At 52.3% G+C, this 26,747-nt stretch overlaps 10 annotated features.

The window, feature by feature from the left end:
• Positions 8,293 to 8,662: a silencer, noted in NCBI's record as "silent region_919". NCBI's record gives its function as "represses an Ori minimal core promoter by ATAC-STARR-seq in GM12878 lymphoblastoid cells {active_cell/tissue: GM12878}" and the evidence as "EXISTENCE:reporter gene assay evidence [ECO:0000049][PMID:35858748]".
• Positions 8,293 to 8,683: a biological region, named in NCBI's record as "ReSE screen-validated silencer GRCh37_chr1:54954958-54955168".
• Positions 8,473 to 8,683: a silencer, noted in NCBI's record as "fragment chr1:54954958-54955168 (GRCh37/hg19 assembly coordinates)". NCBI's record gives its function as "represses an EF-1alpha promoter that drives an FKBP-Casp9 reporter gene in an ReSE screen in K562 erythroleukemia cells {active_cell/tissue: K562}" and the evidence as "EXISTENCE:reporter gene assay evidence [ECO:0000049][PMID:32094911]".
• Positions 9,449 to 9,758: a silencer, noted in NCBI's record as "silent region_918". NCBI's record gives its function as "represses an Ori minimal core promoter by ATAC-STARR-seq in GM12878 lymphoblastoid cells {active_cell/tissue: GM12878}" and the evidence as "EXISTENCE:reporter gene assay evidence [ECO:0000049][PMID:35858748]".
• Positions 9,730 to 10,248: an enhancer, noted in NCBI's record as "H3K4me1 hESC enhancer chr1:54953393-54953911 (GRCh37/hg19 assembly coordinates)". NCBI's record gives its function as "activates a minimal SCP1, AML or CMV promoter by ChIP-STARR-seq in naive H9 embryonic stem cells {active_cell/tissue: H9 hESC(naive)}" and the evidence as "EXISTENCE:reporter gene assay evidence [ECO:0000049][PMID:30033119]".
• Positions 17,533 to 18,119: an enhancer, noted in NCBI's record as "H3K4me1 hESC enhancer chr1:54945522-54946108 (GRCh37/hg19 assembly coordinates)". NCBI's record gives its function as "activates a minimal SCP1, AML or CMV promoter by ChIP-STARR-seq in primed H9 embryonic stem cells {active_cell/tissue: H9 hESC(primed)}" and the evidence as "EXISTENCE:reporter gene assay evidence [ECO:0000049][PMID:30033119]".
• Positions 21,264 to 21,896: an enhancer, noted in NCBI's record as "H3K4me1 hESC enhancer chr1:54941745-54942377 (GRCh37/hg19 assembly coordinates)". NCBI's record gives its function as "activates a minimal SCP1, AML or CMV promoter by ChIP-STARR-seq in primed H9 embryonic stem cells {active_cell/tissue: H9 hESC(primed)}" and the evidence as "EXISTENCE:reporter gene assay evidence [ECO:0000049][PMID:30033119]".
• Positions 21,897 to 22,530: an enhancer, noted in NCBI's record as "H3K4me1 hESC enhancer chr1:54941111-54941744 (GRCh37/hg19 assembly coordinates)". NCBI's record gives its function as "activates a minimal SCP1, AML or CMV promoter by ChIP-STARR-seq in naive H9 embryonic stem cells {active_cell/tissue: H9 hESC(naive)}" and the evidence as "EXISTENCE:reporter gene assay evidence [ECO:0000049][PMID:30033119]".
• Positions 22,531 to 23,164: an enhancer, noted in NCBI's record as "H3K4me1 hESC enhancer chr1:54940477-54941110 (GRCh37/hg19 assembly coordinates)". NCBI's record gives its function as "activates a minimal SCP1, AML or CMV promoter by ChIP-STARR-seq in naive H9 embryonic stem cells {active_cell/tissue: H9 hESC(naive)}" and the evidence as "EXISTENCE:reporter gene assay evidence [ECO:0000049][PMID:30033119]".
• Positions 25,772 to 26,272: an enhancer, noted in NCBI's record as "H3K4me1 hESC enhancer chr1:54937369-54937869 (GRCh37/hg19 assembly coordinates)". NCBI's record gives its function as "activates a minimal SCP1, AML or CMV promoter by ChIP-STARR-seq in naive H9 embryonic stem cells {active_cell/tissue: H9 hESC(naive)}" and the evidence as "EXISTENCE:reporter gene assay evidence [ECO:0000049][PMID:30033119]".

The raw sequence follows: 26,747 nt of genomic DNA, 5'->3' as shown, positions 1-26,747 counted from the left end.
GCTGATAACAGAATAAATATAAACATATTTGGATTATCTACTGCTGTGTAACAAATATCCCGAAATTTTGTGGCTTAAAATAACCAGTCATTTTTGAATCCCTCATAATTTCTGTGGATTAGGAATTGGGAAAGGGCATGGCTGGGCAGCCCTAGCTTGGGGTCTCCCATGCACTGCAGTCAGACAGTGACTGGAGGCGGCACAGCAGAGGCCAGGGCAGCTGGAGATGGCTGGGTACTGTCTCTTCGGTTAGCTTCTGGGCTTCTCCATGTGATCTCTCTAAACTCCTTTGGGCTTCCTCACAGCATGGCGGTTCCAGGGCGGTCAAAGTGCTTCCCTGGCAGCTAGCTGGCTTCCTCCACAGTGAATTTCCCAAAAGAACAAAGCAGAAGTACAGAGCGTTTTTATGACCTAGCCGCAGTCATAAAAATAGTACCACTTCTGCCACACTCTGTTGGTCAAGGCAATCTTAAAGTTCCACCCAGTTTCAAAGGGAGGAGATATAGCCCCAGCCTCTTGATTTGATGGTGGTGTCAAAGTCACATTGAAAGAGGAGCCATGTGAGATGAGAGATATTATTGTGACCATTTTTGGAAAATACAATTTGCTACAAAACCCGCTTAGATCTAAATAAGACCACCTCAAACCCTCCCTTCATCTTTGCAAGTTAACGCCTCCCCATTTCTGCAAATCCCTCAGGGGCTGACTTATATTTCCATGATCACCTCTGATTCCAAATTCCTGCTTCTGCTGTATTTGATCAATTTTTGGACTCTCTCACCATCCTGTGGGGGCCGACTCTGTCACAAGCCACATGACCTCCACAGAAACTCATTCCTTTCCTCAGTTTCCACAAAATGCTCACCTAAGGCAAATGAGGGCATGTGGGCTCTGCTAAGGACTTAAGGAGACAGAGGAGCATCTCAAGTGACTTGAATGGAATATTAGACATCCCTGTTCATGGCTGAGGTTTATGCCTGGGCCTCTTCACTCTGCATACCTCACCCTATCTCTTATCTCCTCTCTCTACGTCTTCCTCCCAACTCCACCCCCAATTCAAATTATTGTCAGCTAAGCTGAGCAGTTCTCTAGGGTTCCTTGCCTTGAGTTCAGCCCCAGGCACCCTTCAGGATGCTCAATATAAACCAAGGGTCTTCCAAGTTCAGAGCTGCCTCCTTAGTCTCCTTAGTAGGTTGGTGTGGACTCCCTGGTGCAGTGATACATGTTTTTGTCCATTTCCCAAGCCCGGACCATCTAGTAGGACAGGGTCTCTTGTGGGGAACTGCTTTGTATCCATCATCTCATTTAATCTTTAGAATAACTCTATTCTGTCTAGTCTGTCTGCCTCACTGCACTATGAATTCTTAGCAGCAGGGCAGTCTGACTTATTTGGGTCTTGGGGGCCTACACAGGGCCCACCATAGAGTAAGCACTCAGGAAAGGTTTATGAAATGACAGCAATTCAAATGGCAGATGCCATTTGGATCAAGGTGGATCATTTGCCAGACCTCAGGCCCATGAAGCCAACCTGACCACCCCGTGGCTAGAGGACTGACCTGCTCTGAGGCAGCTGCCAGAGGCTGCCTTCAATGGCAATTGTTTGTGGAGCACCCAACAGGCAAACATGATGAAACCCAACAGAAGGTGGGCAAAGGACATCAAAGTAATTCACAGAATAACAAGCAATTTCTGGATTATTAGTGAGTGTAAGTACCTCTTCATACACTTGTTGGGCAACACTCAGTAATAAACCAAGAAACACAAAATTCATGTATTAGCACTTTATACCCATCACGGTGGCAGAAATTAGAGTGGTGGATAATACTAAGTGCTGGCAGGCATGTGGGGTGGTGGGAACCCTTATGTACCGCTGGTGGGGTGCAATATAATTCCGTCATTCTCGAAGCAGCCTAACAATATTGAGCAAAATTAAGTATGTGCATGTCCCACACGTAGCCATTGCGCCCCTGCATATCCCAGGGCAGTTCTCACACAGGTCCGCAGGGGACATGTCTAAGGGTGTTTTGCCAAGTACTCGTTTGTGAGATGAGGAAATTGGAGGCAACAGAGATGTCCATCTTTTTTTTTTTTTTTTTTTGAGACAGAGTCTCCCTCTGTCGCCCAAGCTGGAGTGCAGTGGCGTGATCTCAGCTCACTGCAACCTCCGCCTCCTGGGTTCAAGCAATTCTCCTATCTCAACTTCCTGAGTAGCTGGGATTACAGGTGCACACCACCACGCCCGGCTCATTTTTGTATTTTGCTAGAGATGGGGTCTCGCGGTGTTGGCCAGGCTGCTCTTGAACTCCTGACCTCAAGTGATCTGCCCGCCTCAGCCTCCCAGAGTGCTGGGATAACAGGCTGAGCTACTGCAACCTACCGAGATGTCCATCCCCTGGAGATTGGATGAGTAAAATGTAGTGAACGTGCAAGCGGGAAACTCTATGGCAACTGGAAGCAACACCGAGATCTTCAAACACGCAGAGCTGAGTCGGGGGGAAAATGCTAGAGGAGACCTATAGCACCCAAAACAACACAACATCTTTTACCAAGACACATGCATATTTAAGGTCATAAGTGAGATTCGCTGGAGTGAACGCTCATGGAAAGAGGAGATTAGGGATGGGAGGGGGTGAGAAGAAGGTAAAAACCCAATATGTGTTCATTTTCTATGAGCCTGGCATAGCACTTAGAGATCTGTATCAGCTCATTTAATCTTTGGAATAATTCTATGATGTGGGTACTATTAGTATGTCCACTTTTTCAGAGAAAACAGGCTTATATTGTCCAAGGTCACACAGCTGTGGAAGTAAGCGGAAGGGCCAGGTGTTGACCTGGGTCTTGGCCACCGTGTTGGCCTCCTCCCTACCTGAGTTCACCCCAATACCATCTCTGCTAAATGCCGAATTCGGCTGCACCAGCCAGCCTTGCTACTCCATCTGATGCTATGGCCTCGGGTATCCTCCAGCCCTGCTGGGACTCCCACCCCAGCCTTTGACGCAGCCTTCACCTTTCCTCTGTGAGCCCCTGTGCCCTGGCTGCCCCCCACCTTCAGCTCTGGCCCCTCCAAATCCAGACCAACAAATACTGGCCAGCAACCAGCACCCTCCACCCCTAAAGCACCAATTCCTCTAAAACCAGCTCAGGTCAGTGCTCTATGGAAGCCATTGGCTCTGGACACTAATTCCAACTCTATCTGAGCGTTCAGTGCCCTCCACAACTGGACTCAGCTGATCTGGGCAGTCTCACCTCACCACTATTCCCCTTCATGCTTCTAACGATGACACCATGTCAGACTAAGCTTCTGGCCTTGACATGCCATGGACTTTCACACCTTCCTTGAATGCCTTCTCTCAGCATGATGGCCCCCCACATCCTGTAAGGACCACATTTCCTTGGGAAGCCTCCTTGGGCCCTCCAGATGGCACAGGGGACTAGAATCAGGTCTGGCCAACAAGGGCTTTAGAGACAGGCTACATGTGTCAAGTTCTGGCCTGCCACTCACCAACTGTGCTTCTTTTTTTTTTTGGTTTGTAATAACAAAATAACTATTTCTCAGTGTTTTTTCAGACATAAGGAATATTATACACTTTAGTTGCTCTCTTGGCTTTTTTTCTTTTTAAAAATTGAGGTGTAATTTACATCCATAGATCTTAACTTCAGATAATTCAATGAGTTTTGACAAATACCTTTGTCATTTTGACAGTCATTTTCCCTGTCTTAGTTGCAGTTTCCCCATCTACAAAATGGGATATTATCAACCATATAGGGTTGTTGTAAAAGAGGAAAACCAGCTGGGCACAGTGGCTCATGCCTGTAATCCCACCACTTTGGGAGGCCAAGTCAGGAGGATTGCTTGAGCTCAGGAGTTAGAGACCAGCCTGGGCAACACAGCGAGACCTCATCTCTAAAAAAAATAAGGAGGAAAAACAACATATGACAAGTGGCTAGCACAGTGCCTGGCACACAGCAAGCAGTAAATAAATGTCTGTTACTATTATTATTATTACTATTCGCAGCAGCTTATGCACAGTCTTCAACAACAACAAAAAAACTGAGCATCTACTCTGAGCCCAGGCATGTATGATCTGCAGGAGACCCAGGGTGAGTCAGAGATGGAGGCTGCCAATCTCCTGAGGATGATTAAACTATGTTAGGATGGGTGCTATGATCAAAGGAAGCACAAGGGACAATGGTAGTTCAAAGGAGGAACCAAACCCAAATTTGGGCATCAAGGAGGGCTTCCTGAAGGCAGCGATGCCTTAAGTGGCACCTTGAAAGAGCCACAGTTGAATGAAGAAAGGGCAAGAGGCCTGGAGAACAGAATCCAAGGCAAAGCAAACAATATTAGCCACAGACCTGCTGGGTAGAGGGAATGTGGTATATTGGGGGAACTGCAAATAACTCAATTGGCTGGAGTAAAGGGAATGAGAGGGGTGCGACTGAGAGGAGATGGAACAGCCACCGGAGCAGACAGGAGCCAAAGAAGATTTTTTTTTCTTTTTTTTTTTTTTTGAGACAGTCTTACTCTGTCCCCCAGGCTGGAGTTCAGTGGTGCAATCTCAGCTCACTGCAACCTCTGCCTCCCGGGTTCAAGCAGTTCTCCTGCTTCAGCCTCCCAAGTGCTGGGATTACAAGCGTGCACCACCATGCCTGGCAAATTTCTGTATTTTTAGTAGAGACGAGGTTTCATCATGTTGGCCAGACTGATCTCAAACTCCTGATCTCAGGTGATCCACCCACCTCAGCCTCCCAAAGTGTTGGGATTACAGGTGTGAGCCACTGCACTCGTCCCAAAGAAGAGATTTAAAGGAGGGATTAACAGGGCTTCCAGGTATGTCTTCTATTTTCTTTTTTATTTTTATTGTTGTAGAGACAATGTTTCACTATGTTGCCCAGGCTGGTCTCAAAATCCTGGCATCAAGTAATCCTCCCACCTCAGCCTCCCAAAGTGCTGGGATTACCAGCATGCGCCACCACACCCGACCCAGGTACATCTTTTAGAAAGTTCTCTCTGTGCTTTCTTCATTTTGCCTTGAGCCACTTTATTCTTTACCTACCCCCGTCTGCGAGCTCCTTGAAGGCAAGAACCAGATCTGATTCTTCTTTGGTGCCCTTGTAGCTCCTTTCTGGAATGAGGCAGGAAATAAGAAGATAGGCTGGGATCATTTCTGGGTGGGGCGTGGTGGCTCATACCTATAATCCCAGCATTTTGGGAGGCCGAGGCGAGCGGATTGCTTGCGGTCAGGAGTTCAAGCCCAGCCTGGGCAACATGGTGAAACCCTGTCTCCACTAAAAATACAAAAATTAAAGGCCCAGCACAGTGGCTCACGCCTGTAATCCCAGCACTTTGGGAGGCCAAGGAGGGTGGATCACCTGAGGTCGGGAGTTCAAGACCAGCCTGACCAACAGGGAGAAACCCCATCTCTACTAAAGATACAAAATTAGCTGGGCGTGGTAGCACATGCCTGTAATCCCAGCTACTCAGGAGGCTGAGGCAGGAGAATCACTTGAACCCGGGAGGCGGAGGTTGTGGTGAGCTGAGATCGTGCCATTGCACTCCAGCCTGGGCAACAAGAGTGAAACTCTGTCTCAAAAAAAAAAAAAAAAAAAAAAAAATATATATATATATATATATATATATATATACAGGCCAGGCGCAGTGGCTCACGCCTGTAATCCCAGCATTTTGGGAGGTCGAGGTGGGCAGATCACGAGGTCAGGAGACTAGACCCTCCTGGCCAACATGGTGAAACCCTGTCTCTACTAAAAATACAAAAATTAGCTGGGCGTGGTGGCGTGTGCCTATAGTCCCAGCTACTTGGGAGGCTGAGGCAGGAGAATCGCTTGAACCTGGGAGGCAGAGGCTGCAGTGACCTGCGACCACGCCACTGCACTCCAGCCTGCTAACAGAGCGAAACTCTGTCTCAAAAAAAAAAAAAAAAAAAAAAAAATTAGCTGGGTGTGGTGGCAGTGCCTGTAATCCCAGCTATTTGGGAGGCTAAGGCAGGAGAATCACTTGAACCCGGGAGGCGGAGGTTGCAGTGAGCCAAGATCGTGCCACTGCAGTCCAGCCTGGGCAACAAGAGTGAAACACCATCTCCAAAAAAAAAAAAATTAGCCAGGCATGGTGGCGGGCGCCTTTGTCCCAGCTACTCAGGAGGCTGAGGCAGGAGAATCGCTTGAGCCCAGGAGGCAGAGGTTACAGTGAGCTGAAATCATCGTGCCAGTGCACTCCAGCCTGTGCAACAGAGCAAGACTCCGTCTCAAAAAAAAAAAAAAAAGTCACTTCTGCATCCCCAGGAACTGGTTTCAAGAGGGAGAGTGTTCCCAACATGCAGTCCAGCCCAGGGCTCAGGGCCCTCTGTGGCTCCCGGTGACCTGCACATGGAAGTCCCAGTGCTCTAAGCCAACACACAGGGACCACCTGGACCCGCCTCCCTCCAGCTTCATCTCTCTCTACACCTCAGCTACACTGTCTTATCACTGCCCTAGGAGTCATGCTCTCTCAGGACTGTGCCTACCCACCAAGCTCCCTCTCCCTGGAGTCTTCCCCATTTACCTCTACTCCTCTCTCTGCACTCAGCACAAGCCCCCTCTCCTGCAGGAAGTCTTCCTTGATTTCCCCCCAGGGTGGGTAAGAGTCCTCTTAAAACCCCATTCTGCCAATAATCATTCCGTGACCAGGCTAAGGGTCTCCCCGACAGGTCTGTGGGCTGTTTGCAGAGAAGGGCTGGAGTTATCCACCTCAGTCTCCCCAAAGCCGGGCAGGACCTGACCGATGACCTGTGTGAGCCCAGGGAGCGTGGCAGGCTCCAGAAGTCACATGCAATGTCACCAAGACAGAAAATCTGTGTCAGGGAGAGACTCCAAATAAGGCTGCAGAGGCAGGCAGGTCCAGGTGCCAGAGGGTTGGCCATGAGGGCAGCAGGAGGCAGGGCCAGGCCGGGCTTCACAGGAGAGGTTCCCAGACAGTGTTGGAGGAAGGCCTTGAGGGGACAGTTTAGAGTCCCTGGGAGATCAGGGGACAGTGGCTGAGGAAACGGGATGAGAGATATTTAAGGGGAGAAAGGCCCAGACTTGGTGCCTGAGTGCTCGTGGGCAGTGAGGGAGAGGGAGGACTCCAGATGACTCCCAGAGCAGTTCCCCTGGTCTCTAGGGACAGGGAGGATGCTAGCAGCAAGCTCGGACACCAGTTACCTTGGACACAAATAACCCCTACGGACTCTGCCCCTGCCAGCGCAGAGCTGCAGCCTCTGACAGCGCCTCAGCAGCAGCCAGCAGCGCCCCAACCCCGTCTTCCCCAGGGGTTGACTTGACGCTCTGCTGGCTCCGTGCCTATGGCTCCCTCCCGCAGTCAGCTCTGCGCCTGCCAGGAGGGGAGGGGAGGGGAGGGGAGGGAGGGAGGGAGGGAGGGGCGGCTGCAGGAGCCCTGCAGGGAGGGAGGAAGGGAAGGCGGGAGGAAGCCAGCCTGCAGACCCCAACCTAGAAGGGAAGGAGAGGAGAGGGCGTGGCAGACCAGGAAGGCGGGGCCGTACTGTGTCACCACCCATTGGGAGTTGCCAGACGCCTTCTCCATCCTCTTGCTACCAACTATTCTAGAAATGGGGAAACTGAGGCCCGGAGATGGCAGCTGTTTAGAGGCCAAGAGCCCAGATTTCAGCAAACTCAACCCTGCTGTTGGATTACCCCTGCCCCGCCACCAGCCTGGAGCAGCCACCTTAACCCGGCTCTGGCAGGGATGACTGTAGAATACCACAGGGCCCCAGAGCAGAAAGCTGGCCTGCTAATTGACCCTAAGGTTCAAGTCCCCCAAGTCCCTATGGTCTAGAGGGCTGGGGGAAAAAAAGGGCTGACTGAGCAAGTCCAGACCTCTCTGATTTCTCGTTTGTAAAATGAGAGCGGTGATGCCTCTCTGACAGGAAGGCATCAGTGTCAGAGGAATCAGAGGACTCCGTGAGCCCAAAAAATCCACGGGGCCCCAGATGACAACCAGGAGGACTAGATTCAAATCTCATATCCCTGAGAAAATCATTCCCCTCTCTGAGCCTCAGCTTCCCCAACTGCACAATGAGGGGACTCAGTCAATGATCTTAAGTTCCCATCCATCACTGAGAGCCTATGGGAAACTGTCTGCCGAAGTTTTAAATTCTAGAGCAAAAATACAAACCCTACTACTATATCTCCCCAGCTCCCTAAATTGGCACTTGAAGGCTCTCCTCTAGCCTGTCACTGGTCTGCCAGGGGGTCACGGTAGCCCTGCCCAGGTAACTCCCCGGCTCCGCTGGCCGGTGAAACACTGAGGGCCAAAGTCAAGTCCCTGGTCCCAGGGCTAGACCCAAACCTCCAGACCCCTCGCCGCCCCAGCTGCAAACCTCCGGCGGCGGCCCCTAGGGGGCAGTGTTGCCCCGAACTTGGGCCGCGGCCGCCACTGCCCCCGCCCGGCTCAGCGCCGGGAGAATACTTGAGTTCTGGGAATGTTGGACACCCCCCCGCACACACACCGCCCCCCGCTGCCGGCCCCAGCCCGGGGGCTCCCGCGCTGCGCGCAGCCGGCTCGGTGCGGACTTGCTGCTGGATCCCCACCTCTCCCAGCCGAATGCAATTCTGGGCACAGGGTTTTTGTTTGGGGTTGGTTTTTTTTTTTTTTTTTGGCCGGGGTTGGGAGCAGGCATTCGGCTCGGGCTGCCTGCGCGGACTAGGATGTCTGAGCTCAGAGACCCGTGGGAGAAATTCGAGGGGCGAGGGGGCTTGTTCTTCCAATAACCTGTCAGCTGCTTCCCCCGTCTCCCCTTTATCCCCGTCACCCCTCCCCGATATTTGATGGGCATCCACCCCGTACCACCTACCCCAGATCCATCTCCGGGGATCCCCCAACCCCGCCAGGAAGCGCCCCGGGGTGGGGGGTACTGCAGTGCGTGATGTTTCCACCCCACCACCAGCCTCGCTTCCCCAGCTCAAACCCAGGCCCAGGGGCCAGGACACAGCCATGATCTGAAGGGTAGCGTTTGAGGGGGGCGACTCCTGCTGCGAATTTCCCCCACCCCCAGCCGTGAGCCGTAAAGTCAGGGGCTGGAGCATAGACGGTAAAGGGGAAAAGAAGGAAACCCCCATTCAAGTTTGGTCCAACGGTTTCATGGGGAGGGGGGCAAGTAGGAAGAATTTTTAAGCCCTGAACCCACAAAGCAGACTTTTTAAAAAATTGTAATTGAAAACATCTCGAAGTAAGGGCCGCCAGAAGCGGGCCCACTCCCCGCCCCCCCGCCCCAACCCCCTTTCCCGCTCCCCGGAGTCCGATGAAGTCATGATAAGTAGGCTGCAAAAAGAAAAAAAAAAGTGGGGGGTAGGCTGGGGGGGTGAGGGCACAGGGGTCCCAGGCTGGGGCCCCGCGCGGACACGGTTTGGATACTATGGTTACGCGATCCGACCCAAACAGCGAAGGTGGACAACAATAGCGGCCGCCAGAGGAGGAAATTCCTTCCGGGGTGGACGGCGCGGGGGGAGGGGCGCCTGGCTGGAACGCCGAGGCGGCGGCTCGGCCAATCAGCGCGCGGCCGCCGGCGGTTTCAAGGTGCCCCGCGCCGCGCGCCCCCACCCCCACCGCGCGCTCCGCTCGGGCGCTGGAATTGCTGAGACGTTTCCCTGCACGCGCCCGGGTAACCCTGCGGAGGCTGCTGCCCGGGCCGACACCGCCCCCCCAGCGCCGCCCCAGGCGCCGAGCCTACAGCCCGGCGAAGGCCGAGAGTGGCGCTGCAAGAGTTGCTTGTCCTCGAGGGAGGTGGGGGGAAAAATCCCTACAAACCACCCCCTGTCTGTGTGTTTGGTTCCTGCACAAGCCTGTTTTCCATTTTAAAGCTTGTCTCAAGAAAAATCAGAGGGAGAGAGACAAGGAGAGAGAAGGTCCACCGACAGCTCTAGAAGCTTGGGAGGACCTGACCCCTGCTTCCCGGTCTCCGAGGCTGTTATATAATAAGTTGGGTTATTGATATTGGCGGTCTTGCCCGGGCATCCGGGATGCAGAGGTCCAAGGGCAAAGCTGCTATCTAAAACCCCCTCACCACCAAGTTCATGGGATCTGGCTTGCAGTGGGCTCATCGAAACCAGGGGCTCCCCTTCGCCGACATCTGGGTTATTCATGCGGTGCCCAGTGGGGTGACGGTAGCCGTTTCTCCCCCACCTGCCAGAGATTCTGTGCCCCAAGTCCCTCTCTTTTGGAAACCCCGGACTGGCTCTCAATCCTCTTTCCCAGCGGCCAAACCCTCAACCGCGCCTCCTCTCTCTCTTGCTCTCCTGCCAACTACCCAACGCCGGCATGCTGGGCACTGCGAGCGCCACATCGATCCCGTTCCTTTTTTAAGCCCCTGAACCAGGTTTCTGCTTTCTGATGCCTTCTGGGCACAGGGCACCACTTCCATGAGGAGTACAGGCCGTTTTATTCACTGCATATTAAAAGACACTTCTCTGAAAGGATCTAATGTTCAAAAAGTATTTTTGCCTCTCCACTCTCTCTCCCTCTCTTCATATATAATGGGGATAGCCCTAATTCTCCCGTTCCTCGTGTGTCTCTTTATAAATAAATAATGCGATTTTATTAATTATGCACGTACACTATCTCCAAGCAGATTGCTGTGTCTCTTGATGCTTAATAAAAAAAAAAAAAAGGAAAAACCCTCTACACTTAAAGCTGTTTTTCCCCTACTGCAAGCAAACAAAAACTTCAAGGGGCCATATGTCCTCAAAACGGGGAGAGGAAGACAGAACTTGGGGAGAGCGTGGGCAGGGAGAATCTAAAGGGGGTCCTGTGCAGGTTTTCAAGGCAGCTAAAGATGGATTTCAATTCGCCTGCTTCATGCTTGTGATTGAGCTGCGGGTCTGAAAACATACCAAGGTTCACTTGGGCATTTGTGCGCTAAGGAGGGATGGGCAGCCGCTAATGGTAAACAGGAAACCAGTGAGAAGAGAGCTGGCGGCAGCCCAGTCCCTCTCTCAATTCGGTGCCCCTCCTCAGAGCCCCTGAACCCCTGAGCTCTCAAAACACACTTGGTTTCTGTGCATTTGTGCATCAACAATCTCCTGAATGCCCAACATAATTCCTGGCACATAGTAAGGGCTCAACAAATATTTGCACATTGAATGAATGGAGTGTGGAAAACATAAAGGGGTTAGGAATAGGCTAGGTCTTGGGACCCAGGCCTAGGAGGGGCAGAAGCTGGGGCTTTTTATCCCTCAGACAATTTGGGGAGTGGGGGACCTGAAGCTTTCTGGCCAAAGAAGTGACAGAACAGAGCTGAGTGTTAAAAAGCAAAGAGACCAGAGGGCAGAGAGAGGTGCAGTAATACCAGCAACGTTAAGCAGAGTTAGTGTGGCCAGGGAGGAATGGACACAGAGATGGTGAGGTGGGGTGTGGTGGGGTGGGGGCTCCTCAGTCCCTTTAGTACATGCAGATGAGGGAGTGGGAAGGGATCAGAAGTGAGCTTTGTTTTGAAACATTGTGGTTGCCAGGCGGGTGCAGTGGCTCACACCTATAATCCCAGCACTTTGGGAGGCTGAGGCAGGGGGATCACCTGAGGTCAGAAGTTGTAGACCAGCCTGGCCAACATGGCGAAACCCTGTCTCTACTAAAAATACAAAAAAAAAAAAAAAAAAAAAAATTAGCTGGGCGTGGTGGGGGCACCTGTAATCCCAGCTACTTGGGAGGCTGAGGCAGGAGAATCGCTTGAACCCGGGAGGCGGAGCTTGCAGTGAGCAGAGACTGTGCCATTGCACTCCAGCCTGGGCGACAGAGCCAGACTCTGTCAAAAAAAAAAAAAAGAGAGAGAGAGAGAAAGAAACATACATTGTGGTTCCAGTTATGAATAGCAAGGCTGTGTGGGAATAGGGATTAAGGGGTGCAGAGATGCGATGCAGAGTCTCCTATAGAACAGGCACTCCGGCACCGGAGGCTGACCTTTTTTTTTTTTTTTTGAGACAGAGTCTCACTCTGTCACCCAGGCTGGGGTGCCAGTGGTGCAACTGAGGCTGAAATTTTAAAAGCAGAAAAAAATAGAGACCCCAGAGGAGGCACATAAAACTGCCCATAGAGTGATTTGTCCAGTGAAGACCCAGAGGGTGCAGAGGCTCGGGGGCAGCCACGGGTCCCAGGTCAAGGCAGTGCCCAAGCTGGCACACGTTTTTTGTACTACTCCCACCGCACAGAGCAGAAACAGTTTTCTCACACTGCCTGGGGCAGACCAAGCTTCCTGACAAAAGGGTTAATTAAACTGGGCGTGTGTTGCGCAAGTTCAAAAATAATTTTTTTTTAAAGGGAGAAGTTCTGGATGCCATTTCTCCTGCCTGTGAGAGGTCTATATATCACTGAGGAGTTAAAACATAAAATAAAATTGTGCTGGCTGTGGTTACCACAAAGCTATCAAGCTGGGTCTTGTTGCTGGAGCCCTGGCATCTGCTGTGTAATCTGGGGAGCACTTAGTCTCCCAACCGTGGGTGGGGGCAGTCTCCTGACTTCTCCCTTTGTATCCTCCTAATTAAAAAGAATTAAGATCTCTTTCCATGTGTGTTAAAGAACATCTCTTGTGCTAAGGAGAGGCAGACACTAGAGGTCCCTGGGGTGTGAGGATGGTACCAGGATCTAGCATGAACCCACCTCTCAGAGAAGCCATGCCCTGTTCTGTGACCTTGAGCAAGGACCTCAGTCTGCCCACAAATCAAACTGGGGTGGAGGAAGGCTGGGCGCAGTGGCTCACGCCTGTAATCCCAGCACTTTGGGAGGCCGAGGTGGGCGGATCATGAGGTCAGGAGATCGAGACCATCCTGGCTAACATGGTGAAACACCGTCTCTACTAAAAATACAAAAAATTAGCGGGGCATGGTGGCGGGCACCTGTAGTCCCAGCAACTTGGGAGGCTGAGAATGGCGTGAACCCAGGAGGCGGAGCTTGCAGTGAGCCAAGACTGCGCCACTGCACTCCAGCCTGGGCCACAGAGTGAGACTCCGTCTCAAAAAAAAAAAAAAAAAAAAAAATGGGGTGGAGGAAGGCTATTTGAAGATCAAGGATCTCTCATGTTCTGTGGTTCTTAGATATGTGTCCAACAGGACCGTGGGGCGATTGTGCCTTGTGGCCGGTTGAGGTGGAGCCTCTGCCCCCGTGCAGCCGTCATGCCTGTTCCAGTTGTGAGCTAAGGTCCAAAAAAACAAACCACCTCTAGACCACAGAGGTCTCCAAATTATAGACATGCTCAAGCTCTGATAGAGAGCATCCCACACACACATGCAGCAAAACCTTAGGGTCAGAAACTGTCCAGGCTGAGAAATCACGGGGCCCAGCTCACCTGAGATACACAAAGGCCCTCTACAACATCCCAGGCTAGTGTGTGTCCAGCCACTGCTTGAATACCACAAGTGACAGAGAGCTCCCTTACCGTCTATGAACTCTAGCACAGTCTATCCTAACCACTGCTGCTGGTATCCACCAAGATGTCTTGCTAATATCTCAAAGTCGGCATTTACCAAGATGGAACTCTTCATGTCCTCATCAGACCTGCTCCTCCTCCCCTTCCTCCTATGTGTCCTGGCTCGGAAAACTGGCACCACGAGCTAGAAACTTGGGAGTTATTCTTGACTTCCCACTCCACCTCCAGGCAGCCAGTCTCCAAGTCCTGAGGTTCTGCCTTCTTACTCCCTCTCCAGGCATTCCCCGCTGCCTCATCACTCCTCACCTACGTATATTGTTACATCAGCTTTCTAGCCGGTCCCCTTGCCTCCTCACTATCCCTTCCAAATTACCCTCCAGGCTGCCTACCAGAAGTCTCTTTCTGAAGCCTTAACCTGAATGCAACATGCCTCTGCTTATAAATAAACGATGACCTGAGTTGCCCACATAACCGAAGTCCAAATTCCTTTGGCCTTTCTTCACCTGGCTCCAGGCACATATGCAGCCCCACAGCTCACTTCTCCCCACCGATTTACCTTACACGCCGGCCACACCAAACAGCGTGTTGTTCCCTGAATATTCTCTGTTCTTTCATGCCTCTGTTTCTGCAAATGCTGTGTCCTCTACCTAGGACACCCTTCTAGTCACTAAAGAGAGAGATGAAAAATAGAGTCCCTGACCAAGAAGAGCCCATTTTCTAGAGCTGCACTATCCAGTATGGCAACCACTTGCCACATGTGGCCAATGAGCCCACAACATGCAGCCAATCCAAATCGAGGTGCTATGAGTGTAAACTACGTGCCAGAGTTTGAAAGACTTAGTACCAAAAAATGTAAATTAATTTGTTCATAGTTTCTTTTTTTTTCTTTTTTTTTTTGAGACGGAATTTTGCTCTTGTTTCCCAGGCTGAAGTGCAGTGGCGCAATCTCGACTCACTGCAACCTCCACCTCCTGGGTTCAAGTGATTCTCCCGCCTCGGCCTCCCGAGTAGCTGGGATTACAGGCATGTGCTACCACGCCTGGCTAATTTTGTATTTTTAGTAGAGACGGGGTTTCTCCACGTTGGCCAGGCTGGTGTCGAACTCCCAACCTCAGATGATCCACCCGCCTCGGCCTCCCAAAGTGCTGGTATTACAGGCATGAGCCACCGCAGCTGGCCCATAGTTTCTTTATATTAGGCCGGGCATGGTGGCTGACACCCATTATCCCAGCACTTTGGGAGGCCAAGGTGGGAGAGTGGCTTGAGGCCAGGAGTTCAAGACCATCCTGGGCAACATAGTGAGACTCTATCTCTACAAAAAATAAAAAATTACCCAGGTGTGGTGGTGCACACCTGTTGTCCCAGCTACTCGGGAGGCTGAGGCGAGAGGGTTGCTAGGAGGATGAGGCTGCAGTGAGCTGTGATCATGCCACTGTACTCCAGCCTCAGTGACCTTGTCTCAAAAATGTAAAGAAGTTATTATTATTATTGATTACATGTTTATGATATTTTGGATATATTGAGTTTAATATAACTTACTAAAAGTAATTTCAAGGGCTGGGCATGGTGGCTCACACCTATAACCTCAGCACTTTGGGAGGCTGAGGCAAGTGGATCTCTTGAAGTTCAGAAGTCCGAGATCAGCCTGGGCAACTGGGCAAAACCCCATCTTTACACACAATATAAAAATTGGCTGGGCCTGAGGCCGGGCATGATGGCTCACACCTGTAATCCCAGCACTTTGGGAGGCCAAGGCGGGTGGATCACGAGGTCAGGAGTTCGAGACCAGCCTGACCAACATGGTGAAACCCTGTCTCTACTAAAAGTACAAGGAGAATCGCTTGAACCCTGGAGGCAGAGGTTGCAGTGAGCCTAGATCATGCCACTGCACTCCAGCCTGGGCGACAGAGCAAGACTCCGTCTCAAAAAAAATAAAATTAGCTGGGCCTGGTTGTGCACACCTGTAGTCCCACCTTGGGAGGCTGAGGTGGGAGGATTACCTGAGCCTGGGAGTTCAAGGCTGCAGTAGCTGTGATGGTGCCATTGCACTCCAGCCTGGGTAACAGAGTGAGACCCTGTCTCGAAAAAAAAAAAAAGTAATTTCACCTGTTTATTTTTAAAATATAGCTACTAGGGAATTAAAAATGACAGACGACGGAGAGGTGCAGTGGCTCACGCCTGTAATCCCAGCACTTTGGGATGTTGGGGTCAGAAGTTCGAGACCAGCCTGGCCAACATCGTGAAACCCCGTCTCTACTAAAAATACAAAAAATTGCCGGGCATGGTGGTGGACGCCTGTAATTCCAGCTACTTGGGAAGCTGAGGCAGAAGAATCGCTTGAACCTGGGAGGCGGAGGTTGCAGTGAGCCGAGATCATGCCACTGCACTCCAGCCTGGGAGACAGAGCGAGACTCCATCTCTAAATAAACAAAAATTAACATGACAGATGTGGTTCCCATTGTGACTTGCATTATATGCTATGGGACAGTGCTGTGAGCAGCACAGACATGCAAACAAGTAGGTGTAATGGTTGCCGCGTGAGAGGAGCATTGATGGCATGGTGAGAAACAAGAGTGTTGGAGGCACGGGTGGGGCGGGGGAGGGAAGGGTGGGCAGCTACCTCCTTCCCATGCTGGTCAGTTCAGCCTTCCTAGCATAGTTGAATGCCTCAGGCAGTACCTGAGTCCAAGTGGCACAGAATGACAAGTACTGGTTGAAGTGAGTGCATCAGGGAAGGTCAGGCTCAACTGTCACCCCATCACTTTCTCTGGAAGGCTGTCCTTGACCACCCTGTCTCTGCCCAGCCTGGTCAGGCCCTCCTGGGAGCCCCCCAACCCCCTCTACTTCCCTGCCACAGCACTGATCAGTCTGAGTTGCCACCGCCTTTAAAGGGTGTGTCCATCCGCCCCTCCCTGCCCAGACTCGGCCTTGAGGGCAACGCCTGCCTTGCTTCCTCATGCTGTGTCCCAGGGCTTGGAGCAGAAGAGACCCTCAGCTCAGTAAATGTTTATTGAAAGTTGAGTGAATTTCTTCATTCAACAAACATTTATTGGCCCTGAGTGTCTTTTCCAAGTAGGTCCTTCCACAACTCCAATGTTACAGACCCTTCTGCCAAGGTTACTGACCCATTTTTCTGTGGGTAAGAGTGATGGTGGCTGGGTTTCCTTTTTTGAGCACCAACCACAGACCACATGACACTTATGTGGGTTATCTTGTTTAAACTTCTCTATAATCCTGTGAGATAGATTCCACATATCCCCATTTTTGTACCTGAGGCTCAGGGAAGTGAAGTGACTTGCCCAAGCTCACACAGTCCGTCTCAGGGGAATGGACCTTCACAAATCCATCCTCCAGTTCCCAGGCCTTCAGCCTGAGACAGGGCCAGTCCTAGGTTTTCTAGGGCGATCCTGGTTGACCAGACCACTCCCACTCTCTTCCCCTCCTTTGCTGCCTTGCCCTTCATCTATACTGGGGTTGTCTAATCTTTTGGCTTCCCTGGGCCACACTGGAAGAATAATAATTGTCTTGGGCCACACATAAAATACATTAACACTAATGACAGCTGATGAGCTACAAAAATAAATAAATATATACATACATAAATACATAAATGCAAAAATAAATCTCATAATGTTTTTAAAAAGTTTACAAATTTATGTTGGGCTGTATTCAAAGCTGCCCTGGACCACATGTGGTCCATGGGCCACGGGTTGGACAAGCTTAGTCTCTAGTTCTTCAGCCTGTGAGAAGGCAGAGATTAACTCAGAACCCAGAGGCAGGGAGTGCGCCTCACGCCACACTCTGCAGGGGAAGTGCCCCTCCCCACATGCTGCCTATGGTTGAGCACCCCACCCCCAGCTGGGGAAGGGAGGAGGGAGGAAAAGAGAAACCCACCGGGCCTCTGGGGCACAGCCCTTGAGGAGCCCCGGTGTTTGGTTTCAATTAGGAGGACAAATTCCAGGAAGCCAGGCCAGTGCTGGGGGGATGGGGGTTCACAGAGCAGGACTAAAAATGAGGAGGCTCCTGGAATCTGGCCTCAGCCTTGGGAAGAGGCTCCCATAGGGCTGGGGGGCCGCTGGGAAGAAGTGTGGCTTGCAGAGCCAGGGTGGAGTCCCAGTTCACGGTCACCGACTTACAGTGTACTGTCAGGGCGGTGGAGAATGTAGGTCAGGTTCCTGGCACACAGTGGGCTCTCAGGGGCTCAGCAAATGGTGGCCAGCACTGCTTCTGCTCCTGCTCACATTGCTCCATAAATCCCAGTTCTGGGGGTGGGGAAGGCTGTCTGGTGGTTGACAATGCAACCCAGCTTGTCAAACTGAGGGCCATGCGCTGGGGCACCAAGTTTTCTGAAGCTGGGAGCTCCTGTACAATCTAGGAGCACAAATAACTGCTACGGTGCCACCAGAGCTGGATGCTGGGAAGCTTCGAGAATAGAAGCTTGAAGAGAGAAGAACTCTTGTTGTCTGTCCTGCTCACTCTTGTCTCCTCAGCACCTAGCATCATGCCTGGCATATGATAAGCACTCAACAGATATTTGTTGAATTAATGGGTGATTAGCTCTTCTGGGAAATTTCAGGGAAAGCTTCTTAGAAGAAGGGTGCATCTAAGCAGGGTTTTAAGAGATGAATAACAGCTTGGAGACCAAGAAAGGGAGAAAGGGCATTCCAAGCAAAGGGAACAGCTGATGCAGAGACCAGGCAGCATGGAGCATGTAGCAAAGTATTCATTGATTGATTCATTCCCCCGAATGGTGATGGCATGCCTGTGATGTTCTAGGCACCGTGCTCACCAGATTGCCGTGCTGGATTGAAAGCGTTCATGCTGGAGGAGTAGGCAGGGGCCAGACCATGGCAGAGTCCGGTGTGGGATGGGGATGGGCTTGTGTGTCTTGCAAGGGAGTCAGGACTCTGCCCTGCCAGCTATAGGGAGGTCTGGAGGGGTTCCTATCTCCTCAGGAGTAATCAAGTAACACAGAACTGGAGCTTGGCCTGGAGGAGTTCTCAAGAACAACAGCTCATCCTACCCTACAGCTGCGACTCTGAGGGATGTTGGGACTTGTTCAAGGACATCTATGTAGGAAAGCAGAGCTGGCACTCGGTGACGCACAGCCCAGTGCTTGCTCCCAGTGCCAGGCCCCTCAGCTCTCTGCTGGACCCACCCTCTGTCAGACATTCCTGAGTTGGCTCCTCCTTTGATGAACGGCCTTGGGTACTTCTCCTCTCTCTGGACCAAAGGGCTTAGGCTGAGGCAGTGTCTCCCAAAGTGTGGGACAGGTACATCCAGCGGGATGAGGGATGAGGTCAGGGAGTCCACAGGCCTGGCCACACAAAAATGGAATCTCAGTCTCATCTTCTTGAAAGTTATTTCTTTTCGGCCAGGCACGGTGGCTCACATCTGTAATCCCAGCACTTTGGGAGGCCGAGGCAGGTGATCACCTGAGGTCAGGAGTTCGAGACCAGCCTGGCCAACATGGCGAAACACCTTCTCTACTAAAAATACAAAAAATAGCTGGGTGTGGTGGCAGGCGCCTGTAATCCCAGCACTTGGGAGGCTGAGGCAGGAGAATCACTTGAACCCAGGAGGTGGAGGTTGCAGTGAGCCGAGATCACACCATTGCACTCCAGCCTGGGCACCAGAACAAGACTCTGTCTCAAGAAAGAGAAGAGAAGAGAAGGGAAATTCCTTTTCAATTCTTCCTTCTGATTAAGTCTGGGAGAAAGAAAAAGGCTCAGATTGGGGCTGGTAGGTCTCTAACGCCTTTCTAACACCTGTGAATCTCCCTTTATAGAAGAGAGAGATCTCCCAGCAAGCAAGAGTATCTAAGCCAGCATTGGTTCGTTTTCATTGCAATTATTTTATATTTACCTTCTGTTTCTGGAAAGCAATACTGGTTTTCCATTTAGAATACTGATAGAGTTTCCTTATTGAAGCTTGGCAAAGTGAGTTAATTTAAAGAAAAACAGGAAGTGAGGTAAGCAGATATGGCAAAAGTCATGGATGGGGTACAAATGACCGGGTTTTGGGGAAGTCCTAGGTGGGATCCTAAGCGCCTATGACTCTTCAGTTTTAACATCACTATTTTTCTAGGAAACTGCCTAAGAGTCTAGGTGCTGTTTATCTTTTTTAAAAAACGGGAGATGCCGGACATGGTGGCTCACGCCTGTAATCCCAGCACTTTGGGAGGCCAAGGCGGGTGGATCATGAGGTCGGGAGATCAAGACCATCCTGGCTAACATGGTGAAACCCCGTCTCTACTAAAAACACAAAAAATTAGCCGGGCATAGTGGCGGGCACCTGTAGCCCCAGCTACTCAGGAGGCTGAGGCAGGAGAATGGCGTGAACCCAGGAGGTGGAGCTTGCAGTGAGCCAAGATCACGCCACTGCACTCCAGCCTGGGCAGCAGAGCAAGACTCTGTCTCAAAAAATAAATAAATAAAATAAAATAAAATAACAGGAGAAGGTAGGTGTCTCCCTGGGCATTTACTGATGGGATCAATTCTATTTGCCATGGAATTTCCCTTAGCAAACTTCAGTGCCAGTTACAACACCTTGGCCACACCTCCTGTGAAATGGAGATGAGGAAGGAGCCCCAAGCTGGGATGGCTGGTCTTAGGCCATTATCAACCTCATTCATTTGATTCTGGGAGGCCCTAAGGAGAGAATCTGGGACTTCCACGCCCCTAGAGTGGAGAGCAGCTCTCATCAGGCTTCAAAGCAGAAAAAAGCTCTGCTGAATTGAAGAGGGCGAGGGGACATGTTAGTTAGTGGGCACTGTGGTGCTATCAGTTCCCATCCGATCTTTCTTCTTCCTCCATTAAGTCCCCTGTAGATGAAGGTGCTTATGAAGAATTTCAAGAGGCAAGGGAAAGGCCGGATCTAACACCAGGTAGAAGTGGGTTCAGATCCTGTTTCACTGTTCACCCGAGTCTTTAGCTGATTTAGCTGAGCCAGAGCATTCCTGTGTGCTAAGTAGTGATCTTAATCCCCCCGACAGAGATAGAAAGGGTCTGATAGATAAACTAGATACTGTGAGAATAACCACATCCACTGGTCCGGTACACACCTGCTTATTAAACTATGCAAACGTTTGAGCTACAGAACGCACAGAAAGCCCAGATGCCTTCAGGAAACAGGAACTCATTCTGCCCAAGGGGCTGAAGCAGGAAAAGCTCTCTACTTCCAGGGCACTTTTGAGTTGGGCTTTGAAGAATTAGTAGGAGTTCCCCATTGAGTCGGCCACGAGGCTTAGGAAATAAACCATGGTCAGAGGAAATTGAAATGAGGAGGCTGAGAGTCACACAGAGAGTACACTCCCAGCCCCTACAGGGAACCACAGCAAGAATGTTCGTTAAAAAGAAGGGAGGAGCTAGGTTTGGTGGTGCTGTACCTGTAGTACCAGCTACTCAGGAGGCTGAGGCAGGGAGACTGCTGCTTAAGCCCAGGAGTTCAAGGCCAGCCCGGACAACATAGCGAGACCCTGTCTCTAAAAGATAAAAATAAAAAAAGAAGGAAGGACTTATCCCAGGGGTTTGGGAAGAATTCTAGTCCAGGATTTGACTCTAGGTGTAAGATGACTTAAGAAGGGTCAAGGGCCCCTTCATCATAAGTCAAGTCAAAAGGTCAACTGGTCCATCCCTCTGTGGCTAAGCTACCCTGGTTACTTTGTCCCTAAACCTGCTTCCTCCTCTGTGCTAGAAGCAAGCCCCATGTTGCATGAGTAGGGAAGGAAGGGGGAGGCTCCTCCCTGATTCCTGGGTTTGTGTCCAACAGGCTAGGCCCATAGCCCAGCAGCCCCTTCCCTCCCTCTCCAGGAGCGTGACCCCCACCTTCTGCATGGGGGGCTCCATTTCTTCCTGCAGCCTTGACCCAGGGCAGTGAAACCAAATGGAAAAATAAGCCCCCTTTCCCGGGCCTGGGAGGGACAGAAGGAGGCAGGGCCCATTTTCTAGGTCAGAACTCCTTGCCCCTGCTCTTCCTCCCCTTGCCTATATTTTTCAAAACTAGACCTTGGGGAGAGAGGGAGAGGGAGAGGGAGAAAAGTGTGGATGCTTCTGTGTGTGTGGCTGAGTGCGTATATCCTGTGTGGAGAGAGGGAGAGGAAAAGAGAACAGAGCCTGAGAGAGTGTGTGTGTGTGTGTGTGTGTGTGTGCGCGTGTTGTGTGCATGTGGAAAGAGAGGGTGACAGGGAGAGGGAAAGAGAACAGAGCCTGGGAGTGTGTGTGTGTGTGTTGTGTGCGTGTGGAGAGGGAGGGTGACACGGAGAGGGAAAGAGAACAGAGCCTGGGAGTGTGTGTGTGTGTATGTGTGGCTGTGTGCAAGAGAGAGACTGGCGTGTGTGTGTGTGTGGGGGTTGTGTGTGTGTGTGGCGCTTCAGCAGCAAGCTGTACCTTAAAGGGACAGACCCTGCCTCTGCCTGCTCCCCTCTACCATCCCCCACCCCCAGCACCACCTCCCGCCACCCTCAGCTGGGAACCCGAGCAGAGCCTGTCCCCAGCGACTCCAGCCAGAGGGCAGAGAAGCAAGCCCAGCCCTCTCAGAACCACCCCCTCCATAGCCAAGGCTTTGAGAACTCAGAAATGGGTCCTCCAGGAGGAGAAAATAGAAAGGGGCTTTATTCCCCAGGAAAGCCGGGCCTCCCCTGAGAACTGGGGGGCCGGGGAGAGAGGAGGCCCAGCACTGGGGCAAAACTGTCTGGTTGGGATCCTGGCTGTCCGCTTACTAGGGTGAGGGTGGGTGGAGGGAGGTTACCACCTCCACACCTCTTATGAAGGCTGGCAACAGGGCCACGGCGCTGTACCAGTCACTGATGGAGACCAGAAGGGTGTGGGCAGTGGGAGAACAGCCACCAGGGCCTCCTCGCAGACAGGAAGCCCCTGCCTCGGGTCTGCACTCAGGCAGTCAGTCTCCTTGCCATCTTGGCAGCTGGCGCCTGCAGACCGGAGCGCAGGGGTGTTTGTTTTCTTCCCACAGCAACTGCCCCTCCCCCATGCCCAAACCCGGTTTCGGCTCCAAGGCAGGAGGTGATGGTGGGGTGCTGTGAGGTTCAAACCGGGTTTCTCACCCCGCCCCTCCCTCTCATGCGCTGTGTGATCGACACGGTCCGCACCGTCTCTGAGCTGCTGCGGCCCCATCTCTACAATGGAGGTGGTGGGTACAGAGACTGCCGGCTCTTACAACTGACATTCCCCGGTTCAGGATACAACGGTGGATGTCATCTGTTGAAAAAATAAAGTCTTCACCTGGGAAGAGGGTGAAAAATTACGTAGCCCTGAGTCCTCCCCGCCCAGCCCCAGAGCCACAAAAAGTAGTGTGTGCTGGGAATGTCCTTGGAAACCTGGTCCAACCCCTCCATTCACAGTCGGGGAAACTGAGGCTAGAAGGTGGTGAGTTGCCCAAGATGCTCAGGGAATCAGAGCCTAAACTGGGACTGGAGCCTGAGTGTCCTGGCCCCTGAGTGTCCTGGCCCCACCCCTTTGCTCTGCGGCGGGCCCGGATCTCGGAGGGAGCAGCCGGAGTCACTATGCTGGGAGGCGGCGGAGGAGCCGGGGGCGCGCCCCGACCCCGCGGGCCCCTTCCGGCCCCTCCCCCAGCCTGCTCACCGACCCGCCACCTGCTCCCCCTGCGCCCGGGCGGGGCTGCCGCCCCCACCCCCGTCCCCATGGCAACGCGCGGCCCCTGCCTGCCGGCCCTGCCTCCCCGCCGCTGCGCAGCCCATCTGGCCCCAAGCCCACCCCAGCTGGGCCACCCCCGGCCGGTACCGCCGGGGGCCCTCACAGCCCCGCAGCGGCCGGAGACCCGGACGGGGAGCGCCAGGCGTCGGGCGCCTCTCCTAGCCATGGCCGGCTGCTGGCCGCAGGATGTGGGGCAAAAGCCACTCAACCCTCCGCGATCTCACATTCTAGCCCTGGAGGCAGAGACCCCCAAATCCCCACTCACTGCGGCAGGAGGCAACATGTTGGAATTAGAAGCCAGCTTTCTGGAGGCAGCTGGCCTGGGTTCCAGTCCCCAAACAGTGTGACTGCAAGCATTCCCCTTAACCTGTTAACCTATCTGAAAAATGCAGGTAACCATAGAACCTGCCTCAGAGAATGCTTATGAGGAGGAATAAATGGGCCAATAAAGAAAAATGCATGGAGTTAGCACTCCATCAGTGTCACCTATTATTACTACTGCAGGGGCAAGTGTTGCAAGAGGGAGAAGTGGAGGGCCCTAACCTAGCCTAGGGCAGCAAGGGAGGCTGGCTGGAATCTTAGGAAGTGGCAGTTACTGAGGAAGCCAAGGTGAAGAGGGAACAGCATCAGCAAAGGCACAAAGGTGGAAAATAGTATGGGAGGGTCGGTAGGTGGGAAGGGAGACTTGCAAAGCCCCTGAGTGTTGCTGGGGAGTGTAGAAGAACTGGGCTTTTAGAAGGAGAGCCCTGGGACAAGAGCCATGGATGGTTTTGAACAGAGGTGTGATGTGGCCCCTTCCTTTCCCAGAGACCACTCTAGCTGCCATATGGGGAATGGCTTGGAAGGACCAGTGGTCCTTCTGAAAGATGATAAGGCCTGAACAAGGGCAGGTGCAAAGTCACTGGAAGGTGGGGACAGAATCAGGAGCTATTAAGGAAGTAACATGGCAGAATGGTGACCTATGGATTGGATGTGGCAATGGATAAGAACGCTCAGGTGCTTGGCTTGGGCACTGGGAGGGTGGCAGGGCCGGAAAAGGGGCAGGTCTGGGGTGGGAAGGAAGATGAGAAGTTGTATGTGTATAGCAAGGGTTGGAGGTGCTGTCCAGCTGAGAAGACTTCTGTCCTCCAAAAGAGGAGGACCAGTCTTCTGATTGAATTCTAAATATCCTTTCCCTGGGGTCCAAGTGGAATCTGTCCAAAAGAAATTCAGGAGTTCTGACACAAACTCTATGTGTGCCATTGTGTTTCTGAGCTTTTTGGGGTTTTAGATGGCTGTTTTGGAGTCAGAGCGGGGCAGGAGGATACAAGGAGATAGTATATACGAGGAGGTCGTTAACCTGTGTGGGGTCTTAGGCAAGTCTTCTCACCAAGCCTCAGTTTCCTCCTTGGAACCTACCATGCAGGATTACTGTAATAATTAAATGGGATGCTGGACACAAAGCTCCCAGCAAGGCCTCTGGCACAAGGAAGGCACTCTTGTTAAACATATAAATTCCAGGATCCCTCCTAAGAATCAGGAATATGCATTTCCAAGGGATGGTCTGAGAAATCTGCTGTTAAGACTTGCCCACCATTGGATCAAAGCCTCCAACTGTCACCCTGGGACTCCCCTGGCACCGGGCCCTCCAGCTGATGGCCCACCCCTAACATCACAGCCTGGGACAAAAGTCAAATGGCAGTCCTCCTGCCAGGTTCCCCCTCCTCTTCCCACCTGCCTCATCCCTTACCACAAGGGTCCTTGTGTGCACGCATTGGACCCCAGCCCCCACATCCAAGCTCCTGAGCTAATTTCTTCCTGCCCCCCAAACAGCTCCTTTGTACACCCCTTGGTGCAGGTTTGCACACGCCTATAGCACAGTCCACTGGGAGGACAGACCCTAGTCCTGGGAACAGGCTCAGGGCCCTTGGGGCAGGGAATTCCAGATCTCAGATACCTGAAGTGTGATCTAGAATGGTGAGCTTGGGCCCCAGGTGGGCATATCCCCTCACCTCGAAGGGGGCACACCTCACCTTGTAGGGAGCGGTGGGGCTGGAGGAAGGCATAGGGGATCTCTATATAATAGAGTTCAGAGCAGGAGCCCAGTTTCCTGGGAATATGGGCTCCCTTGCCTCTGTTCCTATCAGCCTTTCCCACCAAGGACCTCTGGCCAGCCCATGGCTCCCCAGCAGCCATATCACAGAGGCTGTAGCCAAGTGTCCTGCCTGACCAGCTGAGGTCACTTCAGTCTTTGCCTCCAGCCACAGCCAGCTTCTGCTGGCCCTGGGGAAGATAGAATCCTGGGGCCTCCCACATAACTACCTCCTGGCCATCACATCCCACACGTGCCCAGTCCCTTACTTGTCATGGGAGGTAATATATTAATAATTCTCCTTTAAAAATGAGGAAACAGGCCGGGCACAGTGGCCCACACTTGTAATCCCAGCACTTTGGGAGGCCGAGGCAGGCGGATCACTTGAGCTCAGAAGTTCGAGAGCAGCCTGGGCAACATGGGGAAACCCTGTTTCTACAAAAAAATTACAAAAAATTAGCTGGGCATAGTGGCGCATGCCTATAGTCCCAGCTACTTGGGAGGCTGAGGTGGGAAGATTGCTTGAGCCTGAAGAGGTTACAGTCAGTGGAGATCAGACTACTGCACTCCAACCTGGGTGATAGAGTGCGACCCTGTCTAAAAACAAAAATAGAGGAAATAGAGGCTGAGGGAAGGCAAAGGAGGAGCGACAGTGTAGAGCAGCTACTGAATGCCAAGCGCTGAGCTCAGTGCTTTCAAAGACTCCACCATAAGATGCCCCACACAACCTGGCAGAACTATCTCCACTTGGCAGGTAAGGACAGGACGGTGTAGCTCAGGAAGGTAGCTTGCCTAAAGATCATTCAGCTGGTAGGAGGCAGAGTTGGAATTTAAACTCAGGCTGGTTAGACCCCTGGCCCAGACCCCAGGGACCACAGTAGGCCTTCCACGAGTCTTGCCAAGAGGGGCTGAGGATAGTTGGAAACCTGGGCCTACCATCCTGATGAGGGCCACGGAATGTGAGGAATGTCCACCCCCAGGGCAAGGCCCTGGGCAAGGTGACCTTTGGGGAGATAAAGTGGAATTCCAGTGCTCAAAACTGAGGCTGTAATAGACTAGCAGAGGTAGACCTGGGGTGGTACCACCAGGGACGGGGGCCAGCTGCAGCCAGGCGCCTGCCCCCACAAACTCCTCCCTGAGTCGATAGTTAAACCTGGGGCATGCGATGGGGCTCTGGGAGGAGACAACGCTATGTCCTCAGGCCCTGCTGTTCCCTCCATTGGAATCTTCCTTCCCCCGTCTGCCAACAGCATATGTCAACTGCTATCCTCTAACTCTGTCCCCAACTATTACCTGAACATTTCCACTTGGAGAGCCCTGGAGAAGTGCTAAACTCCAGAACTAAGCTCACCATGCACCCTGCCAGCCTCCCAGCACCCTCCCTGGAGTGCCACCTTCATATTCCACTAGTCCATTCAGAAGTAAAAATGCTAGTCTTGCCCCTTCCTTCTCGCTGTCACCCATGCATCCAAACTCAATCTCCCAGTTCCTCTAGGATCTTTTCTGCAGCCCACCACCCCACCCCAGCCCCTCTTCTCTGGCCTGGAACCCAGCTAGCCTCCTTGTTGACTCTGGCAGAATTATTCCCAGTTGACAGGT

The sequence above is a fragment of the Homo sapiens genome, chromosome 1, assembly GCF_000001405.40.
Source record: "Homo sapiens chromosome 1, GRCh38.p14 Primary Assembly".
Taxonomy (NCBI): domain Eukaryota; kingdom Metazoa; phylum Chordata; class Mammalia; order Primates; family Hominidae; genus Homo; species Homo sapiens.
This window is presented reverse-complemented; position numbering and strand designations above follow the sequence as displayed.